The sequence below is a fragment of the Homo sapiens genome, chromosome 9, assembly GCF_000001405.40.
Source record: "Homo sapiens chromosome 9, GRCh38.p14 Primary Assembly".
Lineage (NCBI taxonomy): Eukaryota > Metazoa > Chordata > Mammalia > Primates > Hominidae > Homo > Homo sapiens.
The window spans coordinates 15,784,697-15,797,422 of record NC_000009.12 but is presented as its reverse complement, the minus strand read 5'-3'; the positions used below and the strand labels follow the sequence as shown (position 1 = coordinate 15,797,422).

General features: G+C 37.6%; 1 protein-coding gene and 1 long non-coding RNA gene across 36 annotated transcripts in view; both read right to left on the bottom strand.

Moving 5' to 3' along the window:
• The window catches only part of CCDC171 (coiled-coil domain containing 171), a 556,042-nt gene that overhangs the window by 311,504 nt on the left and 231,812 nt on the right, over window positions 1–12,726 (bottom strand). The window lies entirely within an intron of this gene.
• On the bottom strand, window positions 11,762–12,719 carry LOC107987049 (uncharacterized). Its single transcript, XR_001746625.1, has 2 exons — window positions 11,874–12,719; window positions 11,762–11,832 (listed from the first exon to the last, which is right to left on the bottom strand). It is a non-coding gene; the product is annotated as an uncharacterized LOC107987049 (long non-coding RNA).

The window sequence follows — 12,726 nt, the reverse complement described above, 5'->3', positions numbered from 1 at the left end:
GCAACATGGAGAAACCCCGTCTCTACAAAAAATACAAAAACTAGCTGGCATGGTGGCATGCGCCTGTAGTCCTAGCTACTTGAGAGGCTGAGATGGGAGGATTAGTTGAGCCCAGGAGGCAGAGGTTGCAGTGACCCATGATAGCGCCACTGCACTCCAGCCTGAGTGACAAAGGGAGACCTTGTCTCAAAAAAATCAGTCAATCAATCAAATATCACATGGTTTGAACAGATATTTTACAAAGAACATATATGAATGACTAAGTACACTAGAAGATGATTAACATAATTAATCATCAGGTAAATGCAAATTAAATGCAAAAAACATACCATATACACCCATTATAACAGATAAAATTAAAGACAGTGCCAAGTATTCACCAGGATGTGAAGCAAATGGAACTTTCGTACAGTGCTGATAGAAATGTAAAATCATGCAGCCAATTTTGAAAAAGATTTCGGCAGTTTCTTAAAAACTCACACTTACTATACAACCTAGGTACACCTCTGGGTGCTTGCTAGTCACCCACTGGTTTCTCCCTTAGCACTGGTGCTTGAGTCTGCTATAGGGGAATCTGTAGGCTCTCCTGTAGGCTGTAGGCTGTACTTGCCAGGTCTGATTTGGCCCATCTTGCACCCTGCCAACGCTCCTCCCCAACCCCAGGGCTGAGGAGGGAGCTCAGACCACTGTGCACTCCACAAATGTGCCTCTTGCCTGAGGGCATACTTGCCAGGTCTGACTTGGCCCATCTTGCACCCTGCCAACACCCTCCCCAACCGCAGGGTTGAGCAGGGAGCTCAGACTGCTGTAGTGGTAGTTAAACAATGTATACATTTGTCAAAAGGCACTGAGCTATATATATTTTAAGTGTACATTATATTGTTATAATTATACCTCAATTAAGTTATTTTGAATTAAGTCATTACTCTTAGGATCTAATTGTTATTCTTCTGTAAGTAATCCTTTTTCTCCCATAACTTTAAAGACTTACTTTTGTCTTCGTTATTCTGTCATCTCATTACTATGTTTATAGGTGCTTATGGTACTCTACTTTCATTCTTTTATTAAATCTGTTTCATTCTCTTTTTCTTTCCTCTTAATTTCTTATTATCCATCATTTTGTCCCCCTGGAGAGCATTATGTGTTATTTCCTCAGCTTTCTTACAATTTGCTAATATACTTCATCAATGTCTACCCAATGTTCACTGAGTTCATAATCTCCATGACTATATTTTCATGTCTTAACTTACAACTTCTATTCATACCTTATCTCTTAGAATGCTTGAAAAAACACTTAAAGTATCTGTTTAGCTGATTTCAATTCTTCTAGTATTTCTACCACCTAAAGTGTAAATTTTCTCATTTGATGTGTAATTCATTTTTGTGTGATTTGTAATATTGAATTCTATTATCAAATATTGAATTTTTTTATAAAAGTCTTGACTGTATTCTTTGAGATGCAGAAACATCCCTAATTGAACATTTTCACGTTTCCTTCTACAAGGTCACACTGGTGACTGGACTGTACCATTTTAAAGATTAAATCTCAACTAAAGAGTCCTTGGATCATTAAGGTGTAAACTAAGACCCTGTGTGTGGCACAGGCCTAGGTTCCAGTTTCCTTAGTAACTTTTCCCACCCACAGTCCTGAGTAGATGTCAAATTCTCATGTAGCTGCTAGGCAGAGATTTTCTCATCCACATTTCATAGTAGGGCAGCCCTTCCAGATGCCTAGCTTTACACAGGTAGATCTCTCCTAGTCTCTGAGGCTTAAAGCCTAGATTTCCCTAACATTATTATTATCAACTCTGGCCTCCAGCTAGGTTTGCACACCCCAATGAGCTAATTAGAGTTCAGCTCCTTCTCATCATTTGGTGTTGAGTCCTCATCATTTGGTGTTTTGGTCCTCTTTATTTCTTGAACCTGATTATTTTGCTCTCTTTAAGCTTGGCTATATACCCCAAAATTCATGTTATATTTTTTCTAGTTTCCACTTGCTATGGTTTGAATGTGTTTCCCAAAGTTCATGTGTTAAAATCTTAATCCCCAATGCAACAGTGCTGAGAGGTGAGACCTTTAAGAGGTGATTAGGTCATCAGGGCTCTGCCATCATAAATGAATTAATAAAGTTATCATGGGAGTGAGTTAGTTATAAATTAACCGATGAAATAGGGTTTCTTATAAAAGGATGGGTTTGGCCCCCTTCCCTACTTCCTTCCCCCAGAGAATGCAAGCACACTCTCTTGCCCTTCTGCCTTCTGCCATGGGATGACACATAAAGAAGGTCCTCACCAGATGCCACAACTTGATATTGGTGCCAGCCTCCAGAACCTTGAGAAATAGATTTCTACTGTTATTTAATTACTCCATCTGTGCTATTTTGTCATAGCAACACAAAATGCACTAAGACACCACTCTCTGTGTTTGGAGTGGGAAGAGAAGTCCTTTCATGTTAGCAAAATCCTGACTTCAAGAAAGTGATGACAGTAGGAGAAACATACATTACAAGACAATTCCAATTAAGACTACAGATCTAAAAGTCCCAAGTGAAAAATTAAGAAACTGGGTGCAGCAATATATTTTTAAAAAATCATCACGACTACATTGGGTTTACTTCAGGAATACAAGGCTGGTTTAACATTAGAATACTAAAACATAACCCAAGGGTCAGCAAACTTCTGATAGGAAATATTTTAGGCTTTGTGTACCACATGCCATCTGTATCACATGTTGTTCTTTGGTTTTATTTTTTATAATCCCTTAAAAATCTAAAAACCACTCTTAGCTCACAGTCTGTATAAACACAAATCATAGTTTGCTATTACCTGATATAATTCAAGATGCCAACAGAATAAGTGGGAAAAGTCATATGATTATCTAAATAGATGCATAAACTGTATTTCATAATATCCAACATCCATTCATGACTTTTCTTTTTTTTGGTGGGGGGGTGGGGGCGGGGACAGAGTCTCGCTCTGTCACCCAGCTGGAGTGCAATGGCACCATCTAGGCTCACTACAACCTCTGCCTCCCGGGTTCAAGTGATTCTCCTGCCTCAGCCTCCCGACTAGCTGGGATTGCAGGTGCCCACCAACATGCCTGGCTAATTTTTGTATTTTTAGTAGAGACGGGGTTTCACCATGTTGGCCAGGCTGCTTTTGAACTCCTGACCTCAGGTGATCTGCCCACCTAAGCCTCCAAAACTGCTGGGATTACAGACGTGAGCCACTATGCCCGGTCCATGATTTTTAATTTATGCATAATGCAGGAAGATAACTTCCTTAACCCAACAAGGATTATCAAATAAAAACCTATATCAAACTTCCTTCTTAATGAAGAAAGAAAGATTTTCTTTAAGACTGGAAACAAGATAAGGATGCCTACCACACCTCCACCTCCACCCAACACTGTATCCTAGCCAGTACAGTAAAGCAGGAGAAAAAAAAACCTAAAGGAATAAGGTTTGAAAACAAAAAACAAAACTATCATTATAGAATAAATATTACTGTCTATGCCCCAGAGAGTATAGATAAAATATTAGAAATGACAAGAGAGTTCAGCAATGTGGCTGCATATAAGATTAATATATCTGTCACATCAATAATCCCAGCACTTTGGGAGGCCGAGGCAGGCAGGTCACGAGGTGAGGAGATCGAGACCATCCTAGCCAATATGGTGAAACACTGTCCTAATAAAAATATAAAACTTAGCCAGGTGTTGTGGTGTGTGCCTGTAGTCCAAGCTACCTGGGACGCTGAGGAAGAAGAATCACTTGAACCTGGAGAGTAGAGCTTGCAGTGAGTTGAGATCCAGCCACTGGGAAGAGAGTGAGACTCTGTCTCAAAAAAAAAAAAAAAAAAAAAAAAAAAAACCTTGGAATAAGTGCGATGTGGTGCTGAAAAGAATGTATATTCTGTTGATTTCGGGTGGAGAGTTCTGTAGAGGTCTACTAGGTCCGCTTGGTGCAGAGCTGAGTTCAATTCCTGGATATCCTTTTTAACTTTCTGTCTCATTGATCTAATGCTGACAGTGGGGTGTTAAAGTCTCCCATTATTATTGTGTGGGAGTCTAAGTCTCTTTGTAGGTCTCTAAGGACTTGCTTTATGAATCTGGGTGCTCCTGTATTGGGTGCATATATATTTAGGATAGTTAGCTCTTCTTGTTGAATTGATCCCTTTACCATTATGTAATGGCCTTCTTTGTCTCTTTTGATCTTTGTTGGTTTAAAGTCTGTTTTATCAGAGACTAGGATTGCAACCCCTGCCTTTTTTTGTTTTCCATTTGCTTGGTAGATCTTCCTCCATCCCTTTATTTTGAGCCTATGTGTGTCTCTGCACGTGAGGTGGGTTTCCTGAATACAGCACACTGATGGGTCTTCACTCTTTATCCTGTTTGCCAGTCTGAGTCTTTTAATTGGAGCATTTAGCCCATTTACATTCAAGGTTAATATTGTTATGTGTGAATTTGTTCCTGTCATTATGATGTTAGCTGGTTATTTTGCTCATTAGTTGATGCAGTTTCTTCCTAGCCTCGATGGTCTTTACAATTTGGCATGTTTTTGCAGTGGCTGGTACTGGTTGTTCCTTTCCATGTTTAGTGCTTCCTTCAGGAGCTCTTGCAGGGCAGGCCTAGTGGTGACAAAATCTGTCAGCATTTGCTTGTCTATAAAGGATTTTATTTCTCCTTCGCTTATGAAGCTTAGTTTGGCTGGATATGAAATTCTGGGTTGAAAATTATTTTCTTTAAGAATGTTGAATATTGGCCCCCACTCTCTTCTGGCTTGTAGAGTTTCTGCCGAGAGATCCGCTGTTAGTCTGATGGGCTTCCCTTTGTGGGCAACCCGACCTTTCTCTCTGGCTGCCCTTAACATTTTTTCCTTCATTTCAACTTTGGTGAATCTGACAATTATGTGTCTTGGAGTAGCTCTTCTCAAGGAGTATCTTTGTGGCGTTCTCTGTATTTCCTGAATTTGAATGTTGGCCTGCCTTGCTAGGTTGGGGAAGTTCTCCTGGATAATATCCTGAAGAGTGTTTTCCAACTTGGTTCCATTCTCCCCGTCACTTTCAGGTACACCAAACAGACGTAGATCTGGTCTTTTCACACAGTCCCATATTTCTTGGAAGCTTTGTTCGTTTCTTTTTCCTCTGTTTTCTCTAAACTTCTCTTCTCACTTCATTTCATTCATTTGATCTTCAATCACTGATACCCTTTCTTCCAGTTGATCAAATCAGCTACTGAAGCTTGTGCATTCATCACGTAGTTCTTGTGCCATGGTTTTCAGCTCCATCAGGTCATTTAAGGACTTCTCTGCATTGGTTATTCTAGTTAGCCATTCGTCTAACCTTTTTTCAAGGTTTTTAGCTTCTTTGCGATGGGTTCCAACTTCCTCCTTTAGCTCGGAGAAGTTTGATCATCTGAAGCCTTCTCTCTCAACTCATCAAAGTCATTCTCCATCCAGCTTTGTTCCATTGCTGGTGAGGAGCTGCGTTCCTCTGGAGGGGGAGAGGTGCTCTGATTTTTAGAATTTTCAGCTTTTCTGCTCTGTTTTTTCCCTATCTTTGTGGTTTTATCTACCTTTGGTCTTTGATGATGGTGACGTACATATGAGGTTTTGGTGTGGATGTCCTTTCTGTTTGTTAGTTTTCCTTCTAACAGTCAGGACCCTCAGCTGCAGGTCTGTTGGAGTTTGCTGAAGGTCCACTCCAGACCCTGTTTGCCGGGTATCAGCAGCAGAGTTCCCTTTGAAAACTGTCACAGACAGGGATGCCCTCTCTCACCACTCCCATTCAACATAGTGTTGGAAGTTCTGACCAGGGCAATCAGGCAAGAGAAAGAAATAAAGGGTATTCAATTAGGAAAAGAGGTAGTCAAATTGTCCCTGTTTGCAGATGACATGATTGTATATCTAGAAAACCACATCACCTCAGCCCAAAATCTCTTTAAGCTGATAAGCAACTTCAGCAAAGTCTCAGGATACAAAATCAATGTGCAAAAATCACAAGCATTCTTATACACCAATAAGAAAAACACAGAGCCAAATCATGAGTGAACTCCCATTCACAATTGCTTCAAAGAGAATAAAATACCTAGGAATCCAACTTACAAGGGATGTGAAGGACCTCTTCAAGGAGAACTACAAACCACTGCTCAAGGAAATAAAAGAGGACACAAACAAATGGAAGAACATTCCATGCTCATGGATAGGAAGAATCAACATCGTGAAAATGGCCATACCGCCCAAGGTAATTTATACATTCAGTGCCATCCCCATCAAGCTACCAATGACTTTCTTCACAGAATTGGAAAAAACTACTTCAAAGTTCATATGGAACCAAAAAAGAGCCCGCATCGCCAAGACAATCCTAAGCAAAAAGAACAAAGCTGGAGGCATCACGCTACCTGACTTCAAACTACACTAAAAGGCTACAGTAACCAAAACAGCACGGTACTGGTACCAAAACAGAGATATAGACCAATGGAACAGAACAGAGCCCTCAGAAATAATACCACATGTCTACAACCATCTGATCTTTGACAAACCTGACAAAAACAAGAAATGGGGAAAGGATTCCCTGTTTAATAAATGGTGCTGAGAAAACTGGCTAGCCATACGTAGAAAGCTGAAACTGGATCCCTTCCTTACACCTTATACAAAAATTAATTCAAGATGGATTAAGGACTTAAATGTTAGACCTGAAACCATAAAAACCCTAGAAGAAAACCTAGGCAATACCATTCAGGACATAGGCATGGGCAAGGACTTCATGTCTAAAACACCAAAGGCAATGGCAACAAAAGCCGAAATTGACAAATGGGATCTAATTAAACTAAAAAGCTTCTGCACAGCAAAAGAAACTACCATCAGAGTGAACAGGCAACCTACAGGATGGGAGAAAAATTTTGCAATCTACTCATCTGACAAAGGGCTAATATCCAGAATCTATAAAGAACTCAAACAAATTTACAAGAAAAAAACAAACAACCGCATCAAAAAGTGGGCAAAGGGTGTGAACAGACACTTCTCAAAAGAAGACATTTATGCAGCCAACAGACACATGAAAAAATGCTCATCATCACTGGCCATTAGAGAAATGCAAATCAAAACCACAGTGAGATACCATTTCACACCAGTTAGAATGGCAATCATTAAAAAGGAAACAACAGGTGCTGAAGACAATGTGGAGAAACAGGAACACTTTTACACCATTGGTGGGAGTGTAAACTAGTTCAACCATTGTGGAAGACAATGCGGCAATTCCTCAAGTATCTAGAACAAGAAATATCATTTGACCCAGCCGTCCCATTACTGGGTATATACCCAAAGGATTATAAATCATGCTGCTATAAACACACATGCACACGTATGTTATTGGGCACTATTCACAATAGCAAAGACTTCGAACCAACCCAAATGTCCAACCATGATAGACTGGATTAAGAAAAGGTGGCACATATACACCATGGAATACTATGCAGCCATAAAAAAGGATGAGTTCATGTCCTTTATAGGGACATGGATGAAGCTGGAAACCATCATTCTCAGCAAACTATTGCAGGGACAAAAAACCAAACACCGCATGTTCTCATTCGTAGGTGGGAACTGAACAATGAGAACACTTGGACACAGGAAGGGGAACATCACACACCGGGGACTGTCGTAGGGTGGGGGGAGGGGGAAGGTATAGCGTTAGGAGATATACCTAATGTAAATGACTAGTTAATGGGTGCAGCACATCAACATGGCACATGTATACATATGTAACAACTCTGCACGTTGTGCACATGTACCCTAGAACTTAAAGTATAATTTAAAAAAAGATTAATATATCTATCTATTCATGTGTCAGTTACTTCGTTGATCTTACTCTTTGTTGGCTTCTGAAGGAACTAGATTAGGCAAGCCTTTTTCCAGATAGACTTTTGCCTTAGCTTTTGCTTAAAACAATGGAATACTATTGATTATCACTTTCAGGTTATTAAGCAATTTCTTAATGTCGGAGCTTTAGGTTCAAGCTCCTATCTGCTGGTGGAACCCAAAGCTTAATCTCCTATTTCCAGGATTAATATTGGTATAGGTTGAGCATCCCTTATGTAAAATGCTCAGGACCAGAAGTATTTCAGATTTTGAATATTTTTGCATTTTGGAAAGTTTGTATTATTTATATACTTACTGGTTGAGCATCCCAAATCTGATAATCTGAAATCCAAAATGCTCCAATGAGCATTTACTTTGAGTGTCATGTCAGTGCTCAAAAAGTTTGATTTTAGAGCATTTTGGATTTTGGATTTTCAAATTAGGGATGCTCAACCTGTATCTGCCTCCAGGACAAACCTAGCAACTACTCACGGTGTTAACTTTGATTTCCACATACTGACGTTTGACAATATTGTCATTTGTTTTATTTTTGTCCTTGGAGATTTCCTTTATGTGCATTTATGCAATAAATGCAGTGCATTTATTGCAGGGAATGTCTAATCCAAGATTTAGCTGTATTAAAACAAAAGGCCATTCTGAGAATCCAGTCTAAATTATTATTTATAAAAACTATTACATATAAAGAAATGATTTAGGCTGGACACAGTGGCTCACACCTGTAATCCCAGCACTTTGGGAGGCCAAGACAAGGGGATCGCTTGAACTCAGGAGTTTGAGACCAGGACTGGGCAACATAGGCAGTTTCCATCTCTACAAAAAAATTTTTTTAATTAGCAGGGTGTGGTGGCATGTGTCTGTAGACCCAGCTTCTTGATAGGGTGAGGCAGGAGAATTACTTAAGCCTAGGAGGTCGTGGCCTGGGCAACAGAGTGAGGCCCTGTCTTTAAAAAAAAAAAAACAAAAACATATGATTTAAAACAAAATTCCCAAAATGTTAAGTGATTGCTTTCAGATTATAAATCATAGATAGCTTGTTTTTTTTTTCTGTATCCATATCTTCTACTCATGATCTTATTTTGTTTTTAAAAAGAAGAAACAATACACTTTGTTTTTTAAAAGAAGTTATGCACAGGACATATTTAAAAAAGAACTATTTTTTAAAGCATTACTGAAAACACAACCGAATATTTAACAAGTATACACTTGCTTTTCAAATAGAATCTTAATTCATTCTCATAAACATCCTGTAACTTAAGTATCATTATCCTTATTTCTGCAGAAGAGGAAACTGAGGCTCAGAAGGTTAAGTAATTTGCCCAAGCAACAGAGCTGGGATTTGAATTCAGGAATACTTGTTCCAAGGCCAGTGCTTTTCCCATTGAACCATGTTGCCTCCCACAAGAGAGCATTTTCACATTACCACCTGCTAGTTCTAATTAAGAGATAGTAATTAAACAATTCTCCATTCCTGACAACAATATTTAAGCTACTGGCAATTTAAAAAAATTAACATGAACAGCTCTTTATCTGCGTAAAGATATTATACCTAAACACAAACTATAACAGAGAAAAAGACTTCAAAATGACAAAGATGCTTTTCCAAAGCACAGTTCATTACATTATCTATTAATAGGACATGAATCATAAAAATGTTGTTTAATGACCAATATGCTTATAAAAATTTTCAACTCCACTGATAATAAAAGAAATACAAATTAAAGTAACAAGGACATATCTACCAAACTGTCAAAAATGTTTTAAATAGTAATAGCCAGGTAGGGCCAAAGTTGCCATTCTCATATATCTTAGGAGAGAATGTAATCAGTAGAAACTTGCTGTAGGCCAATTGATAACATGTACATTTTTTAATGTATGTGGTTTCTAACCTAGTAATTCCTCATCTAGGAATTCATCCTGATGAAATAATCACAGATATGTGCGTAACATTTAGATACCAGGTTGTTCATCTTGATACTTACTTATAATAGCAAAAGGAGACGGAGAAACAGAAGAGAAAAAAAGGAAGAAGAGGAGGGAAAGGAGTGAGAGAAGGAAGAGGAGGTGGAGGAGTAGGAGGAGGAAGAAGCTGGGATAAATCTAAGTCTATAATATTAAATTAGGTTAATAAATTATGTACAGTACATTGAAGTGATTACCAGAAGCTGTGAGTGGGGATGGGCAAATGTTAATCAAAGGGTACAAAGTTTCAGCTAGACAGAAAGAATAAATTTTGGTGATCTATTGCACAGCAAGGTGAGTACAGTTAATAATAATGTATATTTCAAAATGGTAAAAAAAAAAGTGGATTATCACCACAAAGAAATGATAAGTATGTGAAAAGATGAATGTTAGCCTGATTTGATCATTCCACAATGCATACATGTAGCAAAACATCAAAATACACCCTAAATGTATGCAATTATTTGTCAGTTAAAAAGAAAAAGAAAAAATATACATCCAAAAGAATTCAACCAGCCAGGAAATGATGATACTGTCACGCGTGTCCATATAGAAGACCACCTAAACAGGCTTTGTGTAAGCAACAAGGCTGTTTATTCACTTGGGTGCAAGTGGTCTGAGTCCAAAAAGAGAATCAGTGAAGGGAGATAGGAGAGGGGCAGCTTTGTAGGACTCGGGTAGGCAGTGGAAAGCTACAGTTGAAGGTGGTTATCTGTTGTCGGCAGGGGAGGGGTCAAAAGGTGCATGGTGGGGAGATCATGAGACCCATTGTCCTGGAGAAGAATGTCATAAGGTTGATTGATCAGTTAGGATAGGGCAGGAACAAGTCATAATGGTGGAATGTCGTAAGGTGGGTTATCAGTTAAGGCAGGAACTGGCTGTTTCACTTCTTTTGTGGTTTTTCAGCTGCTCCAGACTTCTTGGCTCCTATAGGCCATCTGGACATATATGTGCAGGTCACAGATGTTTCAATGGCTGAGCTTCAGCTCAGAGGCCTGACAGATACCACTATACTTATTAGCATAGAAAGAAATCCTTGACATGGTGTTTGAAGTAAGTAAAAAACAATATGTATAATAGTATGATTGTATTTTTATTAACCTATATTCAGTTATATTTCTATATTTTTAAAACATAAAGTCTGGAATATATATATCAAAATGTTGATGGTAGATATATCAGGTGATATGATTTGAGATTATTTTAATTTTTCTTCATCTATATTTTCTTATTTTTCCACAATGAATATTTATTACTTGTGTAAAAAAGTGAAAAAAATTCACAGTCATATCGGTTGGTAAGCAAGAATGCTCACAATCTATTACTAAGTAATACAAGTAAGTTTCAAAACAGTATATAGGTACATTCTCATTTATGTAAGAAAAATAATATGCATTAGGTTGAGCCATTTGAAATTCCTGGCATTTGTCTAGTTTTCACTTATAAAAACAGCAATTTCAAATGGTTCAATTTAATACATGTATTTGGAAAAACATACTCTAAAATACTAATACCATCCTGGTCGTTTATTCCTCTTCGTAAAGGACATCTATATTTTCCTCTTTAAATTCACGTGTATTTTCCTGCTTTAGATTTCAAAATTTTCTAATTTTCCTGAAAACTAAATCCCAGTTTCAACATTTACAGGATACCCTGGGCAAGTTTATTGAAGTCTCTAAATTTAAACAAAAAAAAAAATCAAAATCATAATAATAGTACCTACCTCACAGAGGTAGTTTAAAATGAGTAATTCATGTAGAGACAGTAACACAGAGCCTGGCAAATGCATGCTGTCAATCAGTGGAACATATGATGTGGTGGTTAGGAAGACAGATGTGAAATCTGACTCCCTAGATATATTACTTACTAAGAAATGTGTAAGTTATGTCACCTCTCTGTATCTGTTTTCTCATTTATAAAACAGGAATAATCCCATACAGTTTGTGTGAGGAGTACCTAAGTGTTTTATAATCCCATACAGTTTGTGTGAGGAGTACCTAAGTGTTTTATAATCCCATACAGTTTGTGTGAGGAGTACATAAGTGTTTTAAAGTAGTTAGCATAGTGCCTGGTAAACAGGAAGTTAACAATAAATTTTGGCTATTTTATCATTGATCATAATAGTATTATTAAGATATCAGAATAAATAGATATTATTTGTATAAGTTAATACCAACTCTGAGTTGATTAACTGTATTAAGTATGATATCCTATATAGTGGCTATATCATTTTTGTTTCCCTGGATTTAGTTCCATTCCAACGTATATAATCTCACTAGTGAAAAATCCACAAGTTTTATAATCAAAAACTAGAATTCTATTATACTTTGTAGGCAACATTTAAACCCATTAATGAAATTTTCTCAGTGACAACTTTTAAATGATAGCTTCTCTTTTTCCTTTGAAATACCTTTACCACAAATATATGACAGAGAGAACAACTCTTTCTAACCAAACCTCCCTTCTCCCCAAATATGTACTTATATAAGAATCAGACCCAGACCAAAACCTTCCAGAATCCAAAAGATGTGTGGAGTTTCCAAAGTCCATTGGGTACAAAACAAGAAAAGGAAAATTCTAAAGAGAGGAAGAAATAAAGAAGATAAAAGAAACAAAAATTTATTGTTAATTTTATTGTTAATAATAATTGTTATTATTACTGGAAAAGACCTTCACTTCGTTTTCAACCAGCAAGTAAAGCCTACTTTTACCTTCTCGATGCATGTGAATGCAGGCTTATAACTGAGGTCTCAGAAACATGTTTCATTCTATCCTCATAGAATAAAATTTTACATCTTGGGATCTATTCCTATTCAGGAGATATCATAATTCCCTCTAAGATCCACACATAGATAAAATATCCCTTTATGCAAATATCCCTTTATTCTCTT